Source organism: Homo sapiens, chromosome 10 (genome assembly GCF_000001405.40).
Source record: "Homo sapiens chromosome 10, GRCh38.p14 Primary Assembly".
NCBI classification, from domain to species: Eukaryota; Metazoa; Chordata; class Mammalia; order Primates; family Hominidae; genus Homo; species Homo sapiens.
The window spans coordinates 25,578,383-25,603,634 of record NC_000010.11 but is presented as its reverse complement, the minus strand read 5'-3'; the positions used below and the strand labels follow the sequence as shown (position 1 = coordinate 25,603,634).

Genomic DNA, 25,252 nt, shown 5'->3' with positions numbered 1-25,252 from the left:
GATGGAATATGCTGATATAAGAAAATCTTAACTAACTTGCATTGTTTTAGGACACCAGATTTTCATTATTAGTTTTTATGTGATAAAGCCTATTTCTGATTTCCCTTAGGTATTTTTTTAGCAGAAAGATTCTAAATTTAGAACAAAGAAACAATATATATGAAAAAATAATATAGCCAGACACAGGTCAACTAGGCAAGTCCAGCAATAACTGAAAATTCTGTAAGTGGCAATGGTATGAGCAGATGGGAAAAGGTAGTTGCTGTGCTTCATCCAAAGAAAGAGGGGTGCAGGGATAAGGTGGGGGACCAGCTCTCTCCCCTTCCCTCTTTTCAGGCCTGGTTGTCTTTCTAGAGCTCTTCTGAGCTGGTAGAAACTTCAGTCCACATTGCACATGCCCCAAGCGCCATCTTTCCCAGCCCAGTTTAGTACCAAGCTTTCCCATAGCAGGAACCTGGGATCCTGTTCATCAGCTTTTCTCGTGAACAGATGATATGAGGTCTACCAGTCTTCAGAAAGGGCTTTCGAGGCTTTTGAAATTAGCCAAAATGTCAATAAACTCAGAAAAAAATTTGTATTTGACAGTTATCTAAAGTAACCTGATTTTTCCCATTTCACATGCTTATAATAAAATAGTAAACCCAATTGGAGATGTGATTTTGATGAAATAAACACGAATCTTTCCATCTCCTCTTTAGGCTCTCATCTTCTCTCATCATGCCTCTCACACTAATCGTTTTTAGCTGCCTCTAGTCCCTTCCCGTTTCAGTTCATTTCAGGGCTGCTTCCAAAATGATCTAATTTTTGACTTCATTATGCCACTTTTAAAAGCTTCCCAATAGCTTCCAGTGCTCCAGGATGAAGCTGCAGTTAACCTGAAGCGTGGCGTGCAGTCTGTGCTCAGTTACTTCTCCAGCCTTACAACAGTTTCCCTTTGATACCTGTTTGTTGCCTTTGCAGATTTTCGGCCTGGTGACCCTGAACTCTCTAGTGAGACTTCCCTGACCTTAGTTATGCTCATCTGCATATTGTTATACCAGTGACTGGATACTCTCATGGGCCTGAGTGTTCCTGAAGGGGTTGTTTATCTTTGTATCATCACTCCTTAGCAGATTTCCTGGTACTGTGTGTGGAGTAAACAAGCAAAGAAAAAAGGTAGCTGAGTTAGTTCCCATTTGGGAAGAGACTTCTTAAATGAAAACCACAAATAGTTTTGATTGCCTCCAAATGATTACCTGTGTGTTTGAGGCCACATTTGGCTAATCACATATTCCTATAGACTGGCAATATGAGGATGTATGTGCACAAGGATACCAGAGCCAAACAAATATATGGAATTTCTTTTAAAGTTGGACAAAATAAATTCAGTTTTCTATAGATGAACACACAAATCCCCACAAATCACTTTCATATAAATATGTTTTATTGCAGAGAAGTTATAATTATTTACATGCTGCAACACGTCACAACATAAATTTACCAAATATTTCATGGTGGGATGCTGTAGGTTTCAGATAATAGTTTTAGGAGAACCACAGATTAAGTGAAGACACTTACAGCTTTATTGACTCTACGACTCTCGGTTGCTAAATGCTAGAAGTCAAAAGGCAGTGTTTTTTCAGTCCTACCTGTCATAACTTGCATGCAGAAACCTAGGAAGCAAATACAAGAGAACTGTCGAGTTTCAAATCCATATTGCCACCAAAGTTTACAATGGGTTGAGTTATACTTCATGTTGTAAAGCATTTAATTCTTGCATAAAATATACAATTCTATTAAGATTGGTATAAATCTACTTATTTATAAACCCTGGCTTAAAAACAAGGACAGGATGCAGCCTGCACATGCATTGAGAAGGACAACCTAGCAAATGTTTGCGACCTTAAAAGTGTTTATTCACTTTCTATGGTTATCAATCTGGAAAAATAACCTCCTGACTTGTAAATTTCAACTTCTCTTGTTGATAATGGCAATGAAACTCTCAGAAAGACTCTAGGCACTCTCACTGATTTATGCTGGTGGAGAATAATCTATGAACTATAGAATGTCGCTAAGATATAATTTGGCAAGTCTTTTTAACTCACATCTCTAGCAGGATCAATCCTGAAGTGCAATAGAAAGTCACTGATGCTTGACTGCATAATTCTCAAGAAAGGAATCAAGTGCTAACAGATTTCAGACATAAATGAAACAAATATGTGGGTCTAGGAACTTCCAACCCAGTTCACAAAGATTCCTTAAAGGAGGTCACCAAGCATATAGGCCTTCATTGAAAAGGAAGAGATAAAAGAAATAAATGGTGTAAAGACACAAAAATAGAATTTCTATATCTTCTCAAACCGACCCCACCAACCTGAGTAATGCATAAAGTCAGCAAATGGGTGAGGAAGATTTGCGCACAGCTTTGTGAAACAGTGAAGTGCTTGCTTACTCCTGAATAAAAAAATCACTGAGAAAAATTTGATGATGAATATGGAGAATTCTGTTTTTACCTTCCACTGAAAATACTCTCTAAGAACAGCCCTATATCCACCCTCTGATCCTGTTTCTCCATCTTTTATCACCCTAGCATGTCCTCCTTGCTGCTTGTGACATAAAAAATAGTTATTTGTGCTGGGAGTGTCCTGGCCAAATAAGCAGTTGATACTTGGGTGTTTACAGGGAGAAAAAGGGAAGTCTCGGTTCTATTTCTGAGTGATTCTTCTTTAAATGAAATGAGACTGAGCTTTGGAATCTCACTGCATGATCATGTCGGTAGGGCTTAGTCGGCAGCTTAGGATTCCCATGCCAAGAGATCAGTGTGGAATGCAATAAGCTTTATAAAATATGCTTTGGGGGCTGCTTTGCTTTGCAAATGGACCTTACATGTTACATGTCGAGCAAGTGGCTCACAATGGCAATTTGCAGGACTTAGACATTTTCCAGTGCTTGGGAGAATGAAGATTCCATACCACCTTATAGGTTTTGAATAAATAAGGTTATAAAACCTCTTTGGGATTTGAGCCCAGCAAGTTCTACCTGTAGCTGAAGCAATGAATAAGAGTTTATGAGAATAAATACTTTAAGGTATTTTAAAATACTGTATTTTCAGTACACATAATAAAAATATATCCATACAATGATCTTGATGCTACCATAATTTTTCTCTTTAAAAAAATAATCCCTTGAAAGTGCTATCAGGAGCTACCTGTGTTTTTTTTTGAAAGGCAAACTTCCTGGGTTTATAGTACTGCTATAATTCTTATGTCATCCCTAGAGTCTTCCCTTTCCAATAGTAATAATAATGCACGGTATATTTTTCTCACTCTTAGCTTCTTCCTTTGGAAATGCTGCTAAGTAGGAAATACTGAAAGAGTTAAAAGGGACAATTAATTGGAATGAAGGCGTTATCTATCTCTGACTTTGAATAAACAACGGATAAGTTGTCCTTAACTTATTGAGACATATGACTAAGTAGGACCACTTGATCTCCAATATTAATAAAGCTTCTGAGTCCTAACAAGAAGTGCAAAACAAGTAACTCAACTTGTATAAAAAACCCTGATTAAGACAGTATAACAAACCATGATGTGAAATAATAGAGTCAAATTCAAAGTCACAATATATAAACCACAGCCAAAACTAAAAGTTTTTATAGTAACAGTTATGGCTTCCCAAGCCAGAGAAAGCTTACTGTACTTCAAGAATCAACTAAAGTTGATAGATAGCAGGTATTCTGTAAGGTGCAATAACAATTGAATAGCTGCAGATTGCATAAATGTGTTGTGTCACATAATACCAAAGTTATTTGCAAAAATTATACAATCTGGAATGCTTGAATATGAGACACAACGATATACTGAAACATACATTTATAAGAAAATGAGAGCAATCATTAATATAAAAGATATTTTTGGGATGCATTAAGTTAGCAGTGCTATCAAGGTTAAATAGGTAAAGTAAGTTCTTCTCGGTCAGCTACTTAGAATTTCAGTTATATATGTCTTATACCTTTTCTTTCTTTGCAAATCTGGTACGTCTTCTGTGTCTCCTGGTTTACCTGGCTTAGGATCTTCAAAGTCCCATGGATACATATTGATCAGGGCAGACATTGTGGGCTATTTTCCTTAAACATGCTGAAATGGAAAGATTTTCCTAGTGTTACCAAGGGAAGGACTTTCTTGACCAAAGTCTGACTTCTCCATTATGACGTTGTTGCTCTTGCCCCCCTGGTCCTCTTCTACCCATGCCTTTGACTTTACCTCACCATCTGTCATGTTTTCCTTGATTGACAAATCCTCCTTGGGAATATTTGATTCTTATATCTTCTGTCTCATATCCAATCCGGGGTTCCCTCCTTTTCCTCTTCTTCCTGGAGATGCTACACTTTAAAACTATCCCAGATCTCTTCTTTCCTAGGCCCTGCTATCTTATTTGCACTTAGAGCAGAAGAGGCAGGTAAAGCTACACTTCTTCCAGCATTTGGTTGAGCTGGGGTCTCAAACTCCCAAGGACAAACCTCTGCTCGTGATGTTAAAGGTTGCTGGAAGTTATTACTTGAGTTATAGGAGCCACGCACATTCTCCTCAGAAGAAGATGTCTTTTTTTCCTGGTGTCCTATTTGGTTGAGATTTTCATTCTCTGTTTTTGATGCTACAGCTTTGGGGGGCAGTTCTTCGCTCTGCCCAGCACACACATTGGCTGCACGAGGCTGACCTCCGTTCTCCTCTTTTGCCCTCTCTGGGAGAACTGGAGTCTTGGAAATCAAAAGCTTCTCATCTTCCAAAATGGACTGGCCTTGGCTCTCCCAAAGGCATACTTCAGCCTTATCTATGCGCTTCTGATTGGATTGCTGACAAACCTCAGCTGCCTTAGGCTTGTGGTGAGATTTCTCCTTTAAGGAAAAAGTGGGGTTTTTCTCCATTTCAGAAGCCACAATAGATACGTGCTTTTGAACTTTTGATTCTGAAGGCACAGGACCAGGGGTCAGGTCATAAACCTCCCAAGGACACACCTCCCCAATGTCAAAGTTGTCCTTCATCTGGGTGGTGCCTGGGTTCAGGTCAGAATTGGCAGTGGTGGGGTTGACCCTTTGTTGTTTCATAATCCCAGATTTCTGAGGCTTTCTTGGCTCCTCCGCAGGATTTGAGTTTTGGGGGGCAGGATCTTTAGTCTCTGTGTTATCAGAATTTGAGTGATTTCTGTTTGTCTCTTTATCTTTTGGCAAAGGTTTCTGGGATTTAGTGCGTTCTTCCACACCTGCTGTTTGGGTTTTCCCAGCTAATCCAAGAGTCTTCTCCTTGGCGCTTGCTATGACACTGAGAGACTTCTGTAACATCGATGTTCGTGGGTGCCCAGTTTTCTTCTCTGAGCTGAGGTTGTGAGCGCTTGCTGACTTGCACACCAACGGCACCGACTCCGTGGACTCAGCCTCGCTGTCTTCTTTTAGTTTTTGTGTTAGTTTTTTACCCGACAGGGATTCCAGTGTGGAATTTTCTGTTGTCTCCTCCTCTTGGCTTTCTGTGGGTAGGCTACTGGACTCTTCCGTTTGGTCTCTCACGTGGTCATAAGTGCTGTGGGATTTCTTGAGTGAGAAGACTCGGTTTTTCAGGGTCTCCTCCTTGGATTTCCCTGTGTTCCCTGAAGACTCTGGGGGGTTCTTCCTGATGAGGGCAGTGCCTTTGGCTGTGCCATGGTCGGCGCCCTCCTTGTCCTCTTTAGAGCACTGCCGGCTGACTGTCTCTGGGATCTCCGTAATGCGTCTCATGATGGAACGACCTAGGCCCTTCTTCGAGCACCGCTTTTTCTGGAGGTGGGGGTTGTTTGTGATCATCTTCTTTCTTTTATATATTTCCAGTTGGGCATAGAGTTTTTTCAGCTCGTCCTGCCAGAACAAAAGCAAATTCAAAGAAGTGTAGAATTTAGTGTTCCAGTCATAGAAGATCACTACATGGTATTGGAATTCAGTAAACTTGGGCTCTAATTTGGGGCAACTGCTCTACAGCTTTCTCTGACATATGTACTTGTCGATTTTCTCACCATTTGTACTTTCTGATTCTTTTGTGTTTTGTTTCACATAAAGTGTGGACCTTAAGACATGAACTCACGTATTCTAACCTTGCTTCAAGGAGCAAGCACCTTCTGATTTGTACTTTTCTGATTTGTATTTTCTGATTCTTTTGTGTTTTGTTTCACATAAAGTGTGGACTTTAAGACACGAACTCATGTATTCTAACCTTGCATCAAGGAGCAAGCACTTTGTACATTCAAGTTGTGAGGACCAGACTGAGCCTGGACCAGAACAAAACACAGCATATTGTTTATAGGTGAACCATATCCCTGAGTAGTATTGGAAGAATCATGCAGCCATTGATAAAGTTACATGTGATGTTAGATTAGGCTTAGAGGGTAATAGTCCGTTGACTACTAAAAACATCTGCTTCCTTCAGATGCTGATATGTCGTCATAGATTATTTTAAATAATCCAGGCTCTCCTCTCTGCTCCACAGATCTATCCTACCTTTCCCTAAGCAAGATGTTATAAACATGTATTATGGAACACGTTTAATCAGTTCAACACTATGAATACCAGTAAGTCAGTTAAGACTACTGAGGTTGACCAGGTTACTATAAAAGTTGAAATGGCCTGTGCATTCTAATTTATACTATGGTTCATATATTTTAGAACTGGATTAACTCTGCATTTGACATCTTCAGTTCATACCCAAACACATTCCCTCTTTCTGAGACATACATGCACAAACATGAGTGTACATGCATGCACACACGCACCCCAACCCACACACGCCTGCCTGTATAAATAAGGCTAATCTGAAATAGGAAGAAAGATAGAGTACTGGCATTACCCGAATGTCCTCTGGATCCAAGCTGTGCTCACTCCAGGCTGAATTGATACTGCTGTTCAGGTAGGATCCAGATCGGCCCATGTCTAGCTCATCCTCATATGCTTCTGTAGCAATATCATCTCGTGGGTTATTGCTTGAATGTGAAAACTGAAACAAATTCAGTATGAGCAGTAGACATTAGCTCACTGTAACGCATTGCATATATCTATATCTATATCTATACCTATATCTATATAGGTATCTATATCTATACCTAGATCTATCTATCTATCTATATATATAGATAGATAGATAGAGAGAGAGAGACACAGACAGACAAACAGACAGGGTCTTGCTATGTTGCTCAGCCAGGAGAGCAGCAGCTATTCACAGGCATGGTCATAGCACGCAGCAGCCTCAAACTCCCGAGCTGAAGCCATCCTCCTGCTCCAGCCTCCCTGGTAAACGGAATCTTTACTTTACTCTTCCACATATGTTTGTGAGACCCACAGATGCCATGAACTAAAGGCCACAAATCGTGAATATCATAGAGTTCCTGCCCTCCAAAATATCATACGCCACTGGTTACACCACCTGGAGGTCATTTATAAAAATGAAATTGTTTTTCTTGTTTTTAAAGTCTTGGAGACAATTATGAGTTTAAGAAATAATGTCATTTGTCATATATTGTCCATTTCCTGCTTTTTTATTTTTCCTTGGCACTTACCTCTATCTAAAATACTATTTAAAATACTTACCTTATTTATTTATCTTGTCTGTTTCCCCTTCCCCAGATTATAAGTACCATGAGAATACAGGATTTTATCTGTTCATTTCTCTTATTCTAAGGATATATAACAATGCCTAGCAATGCCCCTCTATAATATTTTAACATTCTCTTTTTATTGAGATAGAATTCACACACATACTATAAAATTTATAACTTTAAAGTGTATATGTCAGTTCTTGGTACATTCATGAGGTTGTGCAACCATCATCACTATTTAATTCCAGAATAGTTTTGGAATATTCATCTCAAAAAGAAACCTTGAATCCATTAAGCAATCACTTCTATTCATCCTTCCTCCAGCCTGTGACAAACACTAATCTACTTTATGTTTCTATAGATTTGCCCATTCTGGACATTTCACATAAATGGAATCATGCAATGTGTGGCATTTTGTGTCTGGCTTTTGCACTTCTTATTGTTGTAACATGTGCCAGAACTTCATTCATTTTTACTGACAAATAATAATCCATCGTATGGATATACCACATGTTGTTTATACATTTGTCAGTTGGTAAACATTTGGGTTGTTTCTACTTTTTGGGTATTATGAATAACACTGCTATGAACATCCTTCTACAAGTTTCAATCCTCTTTGGAACTCAGTAAAAATTTATTAAATAATCTCAGTATAGCTCCATCTATCTAATAAAAGTGTAATCATATTATGCAAAGTATCAAAATAGTTAAGATAATCTATACAAATACTTGTGTCTAGTTGATGTAATTCAAGTAGGGAATAAAATAGGTATCTTGTTCTGTTTACAATGGTTTAGACTTTTCAATCAGGCTGAATCTCAATGTTCTGGTTAACTGTGAGACTTGAGGAAAAGCCTGGAGTGAAGACAAGAAATCATAATTCTGGTTTCAGCTGTGCTAACACTGTATTTTGTGGCACTGAAAAGATACACAGTGTTCTAATATTGTGTTTATGTATAAAAGAGGAAAATAATAACAATGATATAATTTGTATAATACCTTCCCCCCAGAGAAAAAAAACTCCAATATCATTTTATTTTATTTCAGGAAGCCTTACTATTATATCACACACAAAAAATCAAAAGTCCTGGCTAGTGTCATAACACACAGCCAGTTTCTGGAAGGTCCACGAGTCTAGAATCCCTGTATTCTGAGTCCTGGCTCATTTTTCCTCATTTCATGGTGCTGCCTGGACAAGTCTTTGTCAGTATCTATCATTATGGAGATTCCTCTATATGTAATAATTTATTTCTATATACATAAAAAATTATTTGAATGTTCCAAACATAAGATTTCTCTGAATATGAATCCAAACAAGAGGATTCTTAGAATAGGAGAGTTCTTTTAAAAAATGATCTTGCTGTTACAGCTAGAATGAACCCATAATAATTAAAACATACTAGACATCAATATATTTGGAAAAAGACTGAAACAGATGATGGGTTTTTGTACAAACAAAGGCATTTAAAAATTATTTAAGAAGTTTCCAAAATTCAAAGAGAAAACAGCCAGTTTCCTGAGGAGGGAGCTTTAAAACTCTTTTAAATATTAAGCAAATTTCCATACCTCCTTTTGCCTATAGGATAAACAACTCCATGTTCATTAAAAATAAGTTTTGCAAAAAAAAAAGTAATATTAGAAGAATACCTTTGGAATCAAAAGCAACCCAATGGTGACTGTCACAGTCAAATGAGTATGTGCAAAATACAGCATCAACATCCAATCAGACTGAAGTCTTGAGGCAAGAACAAATCTGAAATGAGAATTCATTGAGTTAACAATCCAAGATTAAGATTCTACTTAGAACACTAGGATTACTTGGGAACTCTTTTTTCCTCATTGTATTAAAATAAGAAAAAGGAAATTGTATTACTATTTCTATGGCATATATTTTCATCTCAAAAGAATAAAGTCTAAGCTTAATTTGATGCATAATATATGAACCCTTTATTATGATTTTAGATTAACAATAGTAAGAAAGGCAGCATAATAATTCCCAAGATTATTATTTTGTATGTAAAGTGGCCTCTAAAAATCGAAGTGGTAAATATATGTAAATTCAAGAGGAGTAGGTTACAAACTTACAATACAAATTTGTAGAGTTATCAGTTGTAATATTCTTAGTACTCATAATTTGCCTACAAAGCATCAATGTTTAAAAACAGTTATAATTAAGAAAAAGTGGACAATTATTTATCTTTGTGAATGATCCAAGCATTGAAATAAAACAATTTAATGGATAAAACAATTTAATGAAACATACTAATGGTTTATAAAATGTACTCTTTAAAATAAATTGTTCTAAATTATCAAATTGTCTAAAATAATTTAAAATGCAGTATTTAAAAATCTTATCTGATGGAGAAATTTATGAAGTTGTGTTCCAGTATGCCTCTGCAGGAAAAATGGTGAGGAGAAATTCAATACTAAGGTCTACTCTAGTAATTTGGGAATATTTTCAGAAATTAATAGGTGTATGTACACAGTTCATGTTTTAAGGATGCATCCTTACGCAGAAACCAGGGGTTGCTTTCATAAAGGTCTTATCCATTGTTTATCCGTGAAAGCAAAATATGACATTTTGCCACTTGAAATTAGAGAATTACAATTTTGTTTCACATCATCAAATGTGCAAAGTTAACATCCTAAGAAAATGCTCATGATATTATAATCACAAAACAAACATATATTAATGGCTAAAATAGGAAGAAACTAATTTTTATATCTTCATTCTACCATATTAATGACAAATTTACTAAGTAAATGATCATTAATGTTTAAAATTGTCATCAAGATGATTTCTTTCTCATTTTCACCTCCATGCTGCTCCCCTAAGGATATCAAGCTAAAATGGAAGCTCAGCAGTTACCCAAAATGGAGAATTATTTTCCCTTGTGTCTAGAGATGCAAACCAAATAGGCTTGTAACATACATAAAATACAGGGCACTCATCACAATAGCTCACGTTTCATTAAACAGGGATAGGGCTTTCTGGCTAACCATCTTCTCTAACTTCTTTGTGAGAAAAACACATACCTTGAATATGACTGCAAAACTGAACCAGTTTTGACAAAAGATTGTGAAAACAGACTTTTGACGCAGTCTGTTTTCCTGGGTCAGGCTTTTTTTTTTTTTTTTTTTGCATTGAAATAGGATCATTACACTCAGTAACAAGTAACAGTCTCTGAGGCATATAAGGGATATAACACTCTGGGAAAATAATACAAATCCAGTCTGTTGAGGGTCATTCCAGTATTGGAGCAGAAAGTTACATTAAAGGAGACATTCATAAAAGGATCCTCATGTATTGAGAATTCCACCTTAAATGCAAACCAAATAAACTTTAAAGTAGCATGGCAGTATCTAGAAGGAAAAATGCTTGCACATAATTTAAAATAGTGAAACTTTAAAAAACCACCAACTGTGAAATATACAGACATCACTCTCAATCAGTTTTAAATTACTGCCAGGTTTTTAAGGTTGCAATTCTGACTAGAAATATTTTGAGAAAAACTGGGTTTGCAGTAGTTTTAAAGCTTCGTATTTTCAAGAGTGTTTCATCTTTTAAAACATAGGTCTAAAAGCCAGGAGCATAAAATATTTGAAAATTGAGGTTAAAAATAAACACACTTAAAAGTCTTGTGCTTTCCCAAAGATTTGCTTTATGCTTAGCACTAAAAATAATAAAGGATAAGGGATTATAACAGGCTGGGAAAAACGCCTCTGTGTTATTTATCCTTCTAGACTTAATTCTTTGCTGTTAGTTTATTTTTGTGCAATTTGACAATTTGGTATGAATAAAGGTAAATCTGTATATAATGTATAGTCATAGTTTTTAATTTATATATGTATATATACATACATAGACATAATTTTTTTAAGCATATAAGAAAGAACACATGCTATATTGATAGAGAATATATTTTTCACTGTTGGAAGCCTTATTTTATATTGTTTCATTCAAGGAAAAAATTACCAAGATGGATATAGCTGATTTAAATTATTATGTTATTGCTTCTTATTCTTGGACTTTATAAATATTTGAACCATCACATGTATAAGTTCAGGCCATATGTAAATAAGACATTGTACATACTTGATTGGTTTATTATTGCCTATTGCTTTCTCCCTATCAATTCCCCCAAAATCAGTGTTATGCAGATTTACTGTATTAAACTACAATTCCATTCCTTCATCCTTTATAGCCATATAAATTATATTTCTGAGAGTAGCTAATATATGCTGTGATTCCTTAAAGTCAATATACCACAGTCTGATCCAATCTAGGCAGAAAGATATAGTGGGTCAAATTTGGAATTTAAAACATAGGGCTTCTTCAGGTTTATTTAAGCTTGCTAAAAAATCAAAGCCTACCAAGCTAGTTAGTCTTTCTGTGTCACACTTGCTACCAATGGAAGTTCTCCCTTTTCAGAAGTAATAGAGGTCCACACAGTTGTCTGGAAGAAAATTGATCTTGCAAGTACATCATGTCTATTCAACACCAAATTTACTAGGTTCAACATGGAGCATTCAATCAGAGTGTGTGTCTATAAGAACCAAGCTCATGTTCATGTGATTATTCTGGTTGGGCCAATGAGTTGCTTGGGGCTCTGTAGGAAAGATTTACAGCAAAGTAGTAAGGCTGTTTTCAATCAGTATTTAACATGTACTTCCCGTCACCTTGAATCAGTAGAAAAACAGTATTTTCTGAAGTGTGGATGCTGTTATCAAATGTCAAGTGAGGTTTGGGGGGATTCCATGGTCAATTAAGTTTGCAAAATGCTGGTTAAATAAAATTAAGTAGGTTTCCTTGCAGCAGGACTTCTCAGCATGCTAACTTGCATTGTGACACTCTGAAAAGGAGACTATAAAGTGCAATGTATCATAAATATACAAACACACATAAACACCTAAAAGTGATATACTAAGGTGTTAACAGTGCTTATCTTTGGGTAGCATGATTGGGGAGTTTATTTACTTTTTTCTTTAGGATTTTTCTGTAACAACCATCTATTGCCTTATTAAACTTTTAAAAGATTCATTTAAGAATAGTTTACCATGCCTACTCCTGAAAGAACCTAGGCCAGTTTAAAGTTTGACATATATTGAGAAATGAAATTTAATGATGAAAACTGAACAGAGTAAACTTTAAGGAATTAAAGGATATTTAGATATTTATTAAACTTCTAAACAGATTTAAGTACTTGGACAATTAATTTTTTTCTAAAAAAATCTAGCAGTTTATTATAAGGCTAAAGTGCACAACCTTCTGCACTACATAAGCACATTTTGACCATAGAAGACATTTAAACTCAACTCTGAGAAGCCTTCTTACTGGTTTACAACTCTTTAGTTGATTTGTTAACTTTAGTTGATTTGTTAGTCGATTTGTTAACATTTAACTTGTAACTGGTTGTAGAAAAGCATGTTTGTTATATCTTGGAATATGCTTGATATTCTGCAAATAAGCAAAAAAGTAGCTTTTCTTGGAAGAAAGTCTGGGGAATATGTCAAGGCTGTTTGAGCTCTGGCAACAGGAGGAGACATTCTATGGTGCTCAAGATATTGTTGACTGAGGGCATCCCCTCTTAGGTCCTGAAACTCCAGTCTGAGTAGCTGAAAAAGCATTTCTTCCTTTGCGTATTTATAATCTTATATTTCCATTCTTATCTTTCCTTCCTCTTCTAATGTCTTTCTCTCCTCTCTCAGAGAGGGCAAGACAAAGCAAAGAGCCCAGTTCTCTAGATTCCTGGCCTCTTGATGGAGTCTCCAGGGTTCTCAGACCATAGATACCTCCTCTTCTTATTTAAAAGTTTTAAAAGTGTAGGCTGTAACTGAGGCCCACTGCTGTCTGGCAACGTCTCTTTCTAAAGATGCAAGATCACATCTTCTGACTGCTGACTAAAGTCAGAGAGGATAGGCATCCTACAAAATTCCCCCAGACCCACAACTGCCTTCTCCCACCCGCTCTTCCATTCTCACTGATCTCCAGGAGAGTCTGAAGGCCAAAAAAGGAATTGAAACTAAAGAAAGGGGATCCACTCTTTCCACTGAGGCCAGAGACAAATACTCAACATCTCTAATTTTCTTAAGTGTGTCCTAACTTTCCATATCTGTCAAGCAATTGAATGACATCTTTTTGTTGCTTTTTAAATGATAGAATTCCTTCTTTTAGTTCTGCCCTGAGAGTTTCATTTCATTTTCAAATATGAATCAGGGATACATTTTCAGAAGATAAGTCATATATATTTCATTTTGTTCACTTCATGATAAGCCACTGTCTTCCTCCTGTGTTCTCATCTGCTAGAGAGAAACCTGGGATGATCACACAATAGAGGACCAAGCTATACATTCTTATCCCAGAAATTCATTACCAGAATGTGTGATAGCACCAAAGCCCATTGCACATGATAATCTAGTCATCAGATTGAAGTAGTTTTTGTGTTTTGAATTCCACAGAATTCATACATACAAGTTGTCTATATGTCTATTGAGATTTTGAAAATATAAACCAGCCCATTAAACATAAATGAAAATATAGATAAGTTAACTGTATCTGCTTTACAATGTATGCACGTATTGCATTATATCTTCATAATGAAGCTACATATTACAAACAATATTCCATTACATTTCCATAAGTGGCTTAAGATAATACAATAACATTGAATTAACCTTCAAAATAGAAGAAGGCAATAAACAACACAGCCGAAGGAACTAAGAACAACAGCTTTAAAAACAAACTATTCATTTTCCAAATCTGTAAAAGAAATTAGTCCACTTATAAAATGCTATCTTTGCTAAGTCTTTCTATTATGCATCTTATCTAATTTTGTTATTTAAACAGCAACACATCAGAAAAATAAAATAGTTATTTACTAGCTCTACAGATCACTTGCCTAATTGTATGGAATATAGCAGAGATGATGAGCTCATTGTGAACTGCAACAGCCATATAGCGGGGCTCATGGAATGCCGATGGGACTGTCCGCACTGCATAGCAGAGATAAACACCCCACAAGAGGAATAAAAATTCAGCTGTGAAAATAACAAACCATTTTCATGAGTTTTATAGGTGAAGAAATAAAATTCTTCTTTAGCATGCATTTTGTTTATTATTCAACATAAGTTTTTTATAAATAGATGGGTTAGAAAGTCTTATTCACATACAAATACAAATGCCATATATTTTTAAATTTCATTCAGTTTATGGAATATTTTTCAAAGGGTACACTTTGTTGTTATTGCATTTAATTTAAAGGTACACTTTGTTGTAATAGCATTCAGAATTTTCTAATTTTTTGATAATACCTTGCTTTTTCTGAAAACCACTGTAAACTAATTTTCCATATCCCTAACCTAAGTTTAGGATGCTCGTGGAACACTCAGGTCACAATAAAGTTACCAAGGCAACAACAACAACAAAAGTTTAGAACATGTTTATATGCAGCTTCTAGAAATTTAAGTTCTAACTGCACTAAGCCCAGTACAATAAGTAAAGATAACATTGCCAGCTATGTGAGAACACAGGTTGCTAAACATTCAGTGGCATATTTTATAAATAAAACCTTGTTTTGTCACACATGACAGAAATCATGTCTTCTGTGGGTTGAGTGTGGAAAGGTTTAGGAAAATTCACAATCACCTTGTTTGATCACTGAAGCCAGAAGAGACGAGCACAGTGTAGCAGCTAAGAACGAGGACTTCAGCACCGTGTTAGATATAATTCTGATTCTGACTCTGGCTCTATCCCTAAATAACTTTGCATAATCTTAGGCAATTTACTTAACCTCTCTGGTCAATTTCTTCATTTGGAAAATGAGGATAATAAAAGTATGTATTTCATGTGATTATGTGCTAATTAAATAAAATAATGCATAGAAAGCACTTAACATAGTTTCTGACACATAGTAATTGTTAAATAAATGGTTTTTATTATTAAACATTTCATTTGACTTTTTTCCCCAAACTAAATATTGCTATTTTATCTCATTTTGAGTGATAATCTATACAACCCATTTTATCTATCTTAGTGGCATGACCTTTCTGGAAGATAGTGTCTAATAAGAAAGTTCTAATTTGGAGAAAACATTTCATCAAATGCATTATCTAGATGGAACTTTCTTGTAAACAGAAACATTGATGTCCACTCAAAACATGGATCATCCATCCAAAAACCAAGGTGTTTTCCTTGCCAAAGTTTCAGTATATTTCAATCAGCATTTAAATGGTAGGTAGGGCCTTAATTATTTAAAATCCCTTAAAGAAACAAATGTCTCAGGAGCTACTCTAAAACCCTGATGTAGCCGGAAGACAAAAAAATTAATGTCACTCCAAACTCTCCATGAGATCTAGTGTAGGTCTGTCTTATTCAGCATGGTGGACCTTGGCCATGCTATGAATGTTTCCAGCCAAGTTGTATTGGATCGAGCAAAGGGAATCGGGTAACTCTGAGATTTTCATGTATAATTTCCTTTCCCAACTCTTGTATTTCTGTCCATGGAATTACCGTTGCCTTCTTTACCCAGGTTTGAAATCTCCAACTTTCATTTCTACATTTCTTTCTTTGAGTCATTTCTCAGATGTATTAATTCTCTCAATGCCCACAATAACAATCTTTGCCTAAGCCGCTATCAGTTTACTCCTTATTTGCTGAAATTATTTTTCAAGGGCTCATCTAAACCTGACTTGGAAACTGGTCTAATTGTCCCACAGAACTGATATTTGTGGTTTCTTTGAATAAAAATAGAAATTGATCCTCCCAGTCTTAAAATCTGAAAAGGTTACATTTGTCATATCTGAGTTCCTTTTTCAGGAAACCAACCATCAGTCCTCCAGATAGAATCAAGGAGCTGAAACTTACCAGATCACTGCATCTGGACAATGAGACACCAGATCCCTCACCCATCATGATTGCCTAACCAACCACCTGCTTCCTGTTGACCAACTTCTCTTTGTTACCCCTCCCTAATTCCTGTTTTCCACATATGGTTACATTTCTTCCCTGCTATATAAACCTCTAATTTTAGTCGGTCAGCAAGACGGAATTGAGACTGATCTCCCAGCTCCTTGGCTATAGTACCTGATTAAAGCCTTCTTCCCTGGCAATATTGTTGTCTCAGGGATTGGCCTTCTGTACAGTGATCAGTAGGACCTAGACCGAAACCCTGGCATTTCAGTAACAGTTTCATCTGTGTTAACACACTCTTCATAACAGTAACAGGTTCATTTTTCTGAAACTCCATTTTGATCATATTGGGACTTGTCCACATCTGTGCCACTGCATTTGGGTTAACCCAGTCACATCTCCATTAGAAGGTTCATGCATACCGGGCCGGGCACGGTGGCTCACACCTGTAATCCCAGCACTTTGAGAGGCTGAGGCAGGTGGATCAGGCTGGTCAGTAGTTCAAGACAAGCCTGGCTAACATTGGTGAAACCCTGTCTCTACTAAAAATTAAAAAAATTTAAAAAATTAGCCTGGTGTGGTGGCACTTGCCTGTGGTCCCAGCTACTCAGGAGGCTGAGGCAGGCGAATTGCTTGAAACAGGAGGTGGAGGCCTCAGTGAGCTGAGGTCATGCCACTGCACTCCAGCCTGGGTGACAGAGTGAGACTCTGCCTCAAAAAAAAAAAAAAAAAAAAAAAAAAAAAATTCACACATACCTACTTACAACCCTGGAAATAATTCCTGTCCCAAAGGAAGACCTTATGGCCTTACTTTCAACACTATCTTACTGCACAGCCTTCACATTAGCTGCCCATGTTGCTTGACTTTATTTATTTATTCTTGCTTGTGGTTTCTAGACCTTGACTTCTACTGTGGTCTCTGGCCTTCGGGTCAGCCTTCTGTGAGGCGTCAACGTGTCTTCATTCAGAAATGCTCAGTGGCTCACTATTATTTCACAAATCCTGTTATCCCGGCATTCCTAGCCCTCTACAATATGACTTCATAATATATATGTAACACGACGTCTCAGTACTCCCCAGCATAAACTCTTTGAGCAGACCTAGAAGGTCTCTTTGTCCTCTGAACACTCCAAATCTTTTTATATTTTTATTTTTTTTGAGACAGGGTCTTGGTCTGTCACCCAGGCTGGAGTGTTGTGGCACGATCGTGGCACACTGCAACCTCTGCCTCCAGGGTTCAACTGATTCCTGTGCCTCAGCCATCTGAGCAGCAGAGATTACAGGCATGAGCCACCATGCCTGGTTAATTTTTGTAATTTTAGTAGAGATGGGGTTTTGGCATGTTGGCTGGGCTTGTCTCAAACTTCTGGCCTCAAGCAATCCACTCACCTTGGCCTACCAAAGTGCTGGGATTACAGGCGTGAGCCACCACTCCTGGCCCGTTCCAAATCTTGGTCTTGCTTCTGAGCTATTGGTCTTGCTCACACTATTGCTCTCATTTCTAGTGGGAGCTAGAATTTCAGGTGGAAAAATCGTAATCAATGTTTCAATGTCCAGTTGAAGTCCTATTTCTATCACAAAGCCTCCTGAAATGATTATAACCTACATTGAATTTTCTTCCCTCTAGTATCTTTATAGTTTTTACGTATACAGCACAATGCAGAGAATACCACCCAACATATAATTAGAAGAAAATTGTTCATGGGGTCTTGTTAGTTGACACCCATCCCAACTAGTTATGAACTACGGGGCAGGAACTGAGTTTTTCAGTTTTTTTCTCCCTTTGCCCACATAGGTGGTAGCAACAGTACTGGGACAATGTAGATAAGATTTAGTAAATAATTGTTGAGTAAGTCTAAATGATGTCAGTTTCATGTTTAAGTCATTAGAGATGGAGACTCTGTTACCTTGCCCCTCCATCTAACATTGCAGGGCCTGTTAAAGGAAAATAAGCAAGCCATTAGCCTTTAGTTTCTATTTGCTTGCATAAGGGTTCCAGGCATACAAACAGAAACTAAAGGTAGAAGCATTCTTTGTAACTGATTAATTGTGAAGGAAGCTTCAGCCAATCATAGACAGCCAAATAGCTGATTGGTTTTGTAACCTGGGACCTCCCACTGGACAATATCCAAATAAGGCAAACACCTAGCTCTAGCCAATCAAGTAGTTTGTTTTGTTTTGTTTGTTTTTTAAATTTTGCTTCCATCTCCAGCCTATAAAAGTTGAATGCTCAGGCCGCCACAGCAAAACCCACAACCTCCCTTTGGTTTTGGTGCTTCCTGATTCATGAATTGATCTTCGCTCAGATAAACTGTTAGATTTTCATTTTGTCTCCAGTTTTTCCTTAAACAGGCTTATAAGTGATCTAAAGATCATACTGGCATCATTAACTGTGTTAATCTGAAACTGATGCACTACTGAGTTTGTGGTACTGTGCCTGGCACAAAAGAATGGTGAATGCATAAGTATTATTAAGTACCACTAGCACAAAAATATGCTGTAGTTGAAGGATTCACACGTAGCTGCATTATGAAAACAGTATCTCCTGCTACTTACCACACAGTTTTTACATAATGTTATACTGAAGATTCAAAAAAAGAAAAGTAGTTATCAGGTTAATTAGTGTGCTACAATGGAGAATTATATTTAAAAATATAAGACAAAATAAGATTTCTCATAACAGCTCGGTTGAACATTAAAATCATTTCATTAGCAATACCAAACAATATGCTGTAGCTGAAAAACAATTTATTATTCAAAGTACCAATTAAACTAAATGTGATATATAAAAGTTGTGCTTAGGAAAAAAATCAGTTTCGTATAATTAACTTCAGACTAGCACTGCAATTAGTAAAGAAAATATGCAGATGTTACCAAATTTGCGGTGTTATTACGTGGGAGTTGAAATACGTGTTGTGCTTCTTCTTTAGAAAATAATTTCTGGTGTTAAATAATTTTGATGAAAGGCATGAGTATAGTTACAAAAAGGACTGCATTTATATTTCGAGATCCTTTCAGAAACTGAAGTCTTTTTAATCTGTATGGAATAACACTCAGTTTAAAAGTTAACTACCATAGCCTTTGAAAAATTAATATACTATAAGGAGAGTATTTTCAAGTTATTTTTTCAAACGGCTGGGCCAAGCAAGGAAATGAAAATTAGTATAAGTTCTTTGACACTGAAGGTGCTCCAGTTCTGTGATCCTAGACTACCCACAAAAGCTGAGAGAAAAACAACTTCAAAGTGCAAATGCCACTCAAGCTGTGGTACTCTGATTTACCCTGTTGCAAAGGCGTTTTGTATTAATAACACTTTACCCTGCTTTGCCGCATTAAAAATTACCTTTACACAGCATAAATAAGTATATAAATGATAAAACGTTTAGGTTTTATTTCTCAAGTGTCTCTTTTAATGTCCTCTTCTATTTTTCTCTATATCCTATCCACTTAAAAAATTCATGGTTAAAGTAAAAAAAAAATATTTACAATTCTACCCAGGATAACTCATTTTGTTTTCTTTCTAATGACAGAGTTGGTGGCACAGAGGTTATCACTAAGTGTTAAATCAAACAACTTCAATAATTCTTGAATACCTTCAATTCCAGGATTCTAGGCTTCAGCTAGTATAAAGAAGCTTGAATATAAATAAGTATTTATATTATAAGCCCTAGATATTCTGGGTGGTTATCTGGTTCTTCTTTGGCTAAAATAAAGCCAATTATGAGTTACACTGATTAAAACAATGAGAATGTCTCTTCTGTTAGAATTGTTAAGTTACAAGTGACTTTATTAGACCATATAGTGAACAGGTACATTTTTGAGTGTCTGTGCTGCTGGGAAGCAGGTAGTTGGTGAGCTGCTGTTATTCTGCTGGCCTTAAAGTCAGTTGATTCAGCTCCGAGATAGAGAAGGATACAGAAGACGTTGCAAGTTACAGTGCATTTCACAACTAGGACAATGGAGGCTGGGTATGTGTTCCCTTTCCAGCTCTCTGGAAGCACAGAGCCCCGGGATGGGCTATAGGATATGTCTGCAGAGAACCTCCGTTCTCCAGCTGCACTCGCCCTGTGAGCAGCAGATTGGAGCCTAGAATCCGAGTCTCTTAGTTCCTGACCAGTGCTCCCTAAATTACATTCTTGGCTGAGATTTTCTTAACCCCTGGAAATATTTTTATCCTACTGAAGAAAACAAATATTTTTCCAGGCAGCAATTGTTTGTATTTAGAACAGCTGATACATTAATTAGAATTGAATAGCCTGTGGTAATTAAAGGAGCTCTCCTCAGAAGTAATTTTTGTCCCCTCAATTAATCTGATTTCATACCTGACATCTGTTGAATGGACCCGGGCACTGTGCTAAATGTATTTTGTAGATTATCTACCTTTGTGAAGGTTTTATTGTAGAACTTGTAACTCCTTTAAAAAGGCAGGAGTAACAATTTTGAATGCTGAGATGTCAAGCTTGGGTCAGAAATACTGTTGGGAATAATGGGGAGTAACACAGTCAATCATACCAACAGTATGAAGTCACATAGTGACTTGATTACTTTATTCTCTTACCACTCCCTAGGAGCTGGGGGCTCTCTGAGGCCAGAACTGTCGGAATGGCCACACATTTACAGGCTGGCTTTTCTTCATTGCTTCTGTTCACACTTCGCTAGAATGGGGACCAAGATATTTTTTCCTTATTTTCCATTGCATCTTAAGTAAAAAGGGTAGGGAGACTATACTGTTCTCTCTCTGGCATATACATTTAAGTTTTCAGTTTCCCATGGGGTGACAGAACTCTGGCAAAACTCAGCTACCTCAGAGCTTATGGATACACATTAAAGAGTGGGGACATGATGAGCTCACAAAGGCAGACTCAGATGGAAGTCCTCTCAGAGCACAGGGTCCAGGTCAGAGGAGCAGGCTATGTCTTCCATTTCGTCTCTCTGTCTGATATGGTTTGGCTGTGTCCCCACCCAAATCTCATCTTGAATTGTAGCTCCCATAATTCCCATGTGTTGTGGGAGAGACCCCCCACCCCACCATGGGAGATAACTGAATCATGAGGGTGGTTTCCCCCATACTATTCTTGGGGTAAGTCTCAGGAGATCTGATGGTTTTATAAAGGGAAACCCCTTTCACTTGGTTCTCATTCTCTCGTTGCCTGCCGCCATTTAAGACGTGCCTTTCACCTTCCACCATGATTGTGAGGCCTCCTCAGCCATGTGGAACTGTGAGTCCATTAAACTTTTTTTTTAAGTAAATTACCCAGTCTCAGGTATGTCTTTATCAGCAGTGTGAAAATGAACTAATACACTGTCATTTGCATGGGTATTGTTTGGGGAGGGAACTGGATATGGGATCGCTTGCTACTATTATCAAAGTGTCTGATTTTTGATCTTTTATGAAAGCCTGGTAGCTTTGACTAGTGATCTGCCTTCCCTCGGGCTGCATCACTAGAAATTCACACATGCTATTTGAAGTGCTAGCTGGCAGGCTACCACGAAGACTGCTGTGGGAGGTTATTTATTTATTATTTACATTCTGCCTTTGTGGAAACTGTTTTACTTCTTTGAGGCACAGTTATTTGAATAATGCTAAAGGGCAAAGAGAAAGTAAAGCACTTTTCAGAAGAGGTGGTATACAAATAAGAACTCCCAGTTCCATCATTCTGAAGACACTCAAGCAAGTGCTTTCAGAAGTATGTGTAGTTTTTAGTGATGTAGCCCTAAGCCAAGACAATGTGGTCAGGCTTCTATCCTTTGATTGAAAATTAAAAATACATGTTTAAGGTCACACATGGTGGCTCATGCCTGTAATCCCAGTAGCTTGGGAGGGAGGATTGTTTGAGGCCAGGAGTTTGAGACCAGCCTGGTCAACACAGCAAGTCTGTCTCTCATAAAAATAATGTTTTAAAAATTAGCGCCGGGCGCGGTGGCTCAAGCCTGTAATCCCAGCACTTTGGGAGGCCGAGGCGGGTGGATCATGAGGTCAGGAGATTGAGACCATCCTGGCTAACAAGGTGAAACCCCGTCTCTACTAAAAATACAAAAAAAAAATTAGCCGGGCGCGGTGGCGGGCGCCTGTAGTCCCAGCTACTCGGGAGGCTGAGGCAGGAGAATGGCGTGAACCCGGGAAGCGGAGCTTGCAGTGAGCCGAGATTGCGCCACTGCAGTCCGCAGTCTGGCCTGGGCAACAGAGCGAGACTCCGTCTCAAAAAAATAAAATAAAATAAAATAAAATAAAAAAATAAAAAAATTAGCTGGGCATATGGTGGTGCACCTGTAGTCACAACTACTTGGGAGGGTGAGGCAGAAGAATGGCTTGAGTCCAGGAGTTCGAAGCTGCAGCAAGCTATGGTCACACAACTGCACTCCAGCCGGGGTGACAGAGGGAGACCATGACTCAAATTTTTTTAAAAATAAAAATGTATGTTTAAAATAGTAACAAGTAATGCAGTGTGCATTAAGGCATATGACATATTGGAATAAAAGAAAATGTATGTAATGAATCTAAAGAACGTTAATCTGTCAGATACGAGAAAGTCTAATCTATTTTCTGTAACATTCATTAAATGGCACTTATATCACATTTCACCTGTCATAATAAAGCCTAATCTTCTAGGGTAATTAAGTATTTAAATCCTTAAAAACAATTGCTATTTTAGAATTTCCTTATATAACTCAGCGAGAGAGATGCTGTATTTTTCTCGGTTCTTTCTAAACATTGGCATATGACTAATTAAATTACTGAACACACTGCCTGTTTTTTGTGTGTGTGTTAAAAATATTGTACCAGGAAAGACAAGAACAAAGGAGAAAAGCATGTCAATAAAGAAGAATAAAGACTGTGTATTTTCTATAGTGGCAATATTTTATATTATGTGAAATCCATGGAAACTAATACTTTTGAACAGTGGAGTAATCAATGCTGGAATTCACTAAAAGCACAAATATTTAAAAATTTCCAAATGGAATTAGACTGAAGCCTATCATACCTGTTTAATTATTGCTTGTATCTTCATTTACGTCTTTCTTTTCAATGTGGTGAATAAAATATATAACAAGTGATGTCAAGCTCTGAGTTTCCAGAACCATGAGACTCCTCATGTATCAGTGGACTTTCACAACCATGAAGAGAGGTGGAGGGTAGGGGGAGAGAACTTAATTTATAACAGGATTCCTATCAGGGAATAGTTATTAGATCATATAAATGCTGTTAAGAAGAGTTAGGCTATATCAGTGATACAGAAAGAAAGAATTACAGGAGATGATAGAGGATGAATAGAAGCCTAGATAGGGCTTTTTGGATATATTGTGCCAGGAGGGCAGTAAAATAGATTTATTCTCAATTACATAACTTTTTATAACATTCTATCATCACCTAACTTCTGGAAGAAACTGTGGAAACAGCTCAGCGCTTGCCTGGGTCAATATTAAAGTTTGATGCACAGATTTAACCATGGAAGGGAAGTTCTAAATGTCCTCGATGCTATCATTTATTAGCTACTTTTTTGCGGTCTTGTTGTTTCTTGCAGGTAAGGTAAGAATCTGCCCACTTGTTCTAGCTTATCTTGGTCACTGGTTCCGCTTCAGTATCTTCAATGTATGTTCTAAATGTGTAAGCACAAATTGAGTGCTATCCAACTACATATGTCAACGGATGAACTCCATTACATCACTACCTCTGTTATAAAATAAATGTATTTTAAATTTGGGTCCCCCATACTGGAGGACCTGCCTGCCTGGGATATCTAAATCTAGGTGTCAAGATCTGGTCTATTTGACTCTAGGGGTGAAATTATAACAGTTAATTCAGGCATGAGAAGTCAATTCTACTTACTTGTCAGTTTGTATTATCCAATTAGAAAACTCATAGGGGAATAAAGTTTTGACTTTTTAATATGACAAGTTTAATGTGATTGCAAAAAATCCTGAACATGGACAATTGACTGCCAATTTACCAACCAGGGTAGGAGGATTTAGAAAAAAAAAAAAAATCTGACAGTCGTACAGTTGTACTACCAACAGTTTCCAAAATGAGTATGACATGATACTTTGTTTTCTTCATTAATTTAGGAGAATGTTTCCCAGTCTCAACCCCTTTAATCTTTATTTTTTTATTTTTATTTTATTTTTTTTGAGACGGAGTCTTGCTCTGTTTACCCAGGCTGGAGTGCAGTGGCGTGATCTTGGCTCACTGCAAACTCTGCCTCCCAGGTTCACGCCATTCTCCTACCTCAGCCTCCTGAGTAGCTGGGATTACAGGCGCCCGCCACCATGCCCAGCTAATTTTTTTTGTATTTTTAGTAGAGATGGGGTTTCACTGTGTTAGCCAGGATGGTCTCGATCTCCTGACCTCGTGATCTGCCAGCCTCGGCCTCCCAAAGTGCTGGGATTACAGGTGTGAGCCACCGTGCCAGGCCAACCCCTTTATTCTTTAGATAGCTCTAGGACAATAGTGAAATAATCAAAATGTTCATTAAATCTATTTTATTCTGTTTCAATATTTGTAATTACACTATGTAATCTTTTTTAAGTTATAGTTTTCCTTTGCCATGCAAATTTGTACCAATCTATTATGACTGTTGGAGAAGTCAAAGGTAGAGTTTCATAAAATGGCCAGCAATTATCCATTAGTTTCTATAACTTGCTCCAAAATACCTTCCCCCAAATTTGAACTTGTACATTTACCATGAAAATGAAGCTGGGGACAAGTGTATGACTTCCACAGTCTTTAGCTTTAACCTGTTTCCTCATACTGGTCTA

General features: G+C 37.2%; 1 protein-coding gene across 3 annotated transcripts in view; it reads right to left on the bottom strand.

The window, feature by feature from the left end:
- Positions 1 to 1,405: 1,405 nt before the first annotated feature.
- The window catches only part of GPR158 (G protein-coupled receptor 158), a 427,229-nt gene continuing 403,382 nt past the window's right edge, over positions 1,406 to 25,252 (bottom strand). For 2 of the 3 annotated variants that reach the window (NM_020752.3, XM_017016452.3), the window contains 4 exons: positions 14,490 to 14,628; positions 9,238 to 9,343; positions 6,846 to 6,992; positions 1,406 to 5,863 (listed from right to left, as the gene is read on the bottom strand). In NM_020752.3, the coding sequence (NP_065803.2) occupies positions 4,361 to 5,863; positions 6,846 to 6,992; positions 9,238 to 9,343; positions 14,490 to 14,628 (1,895 nt within the window). In that variant the 3' untranslated portion in view covers positions 1,406 to 4,360. The remainder of the gene's footprint in view (positions 5,864 to 6,845; positions 6,993 to 9,237; positions 9,344 to 14,489; positions 14,629 to 25,252) is intronic. The other variant, XR_930512.4, reaches the window with a different exon arrangement.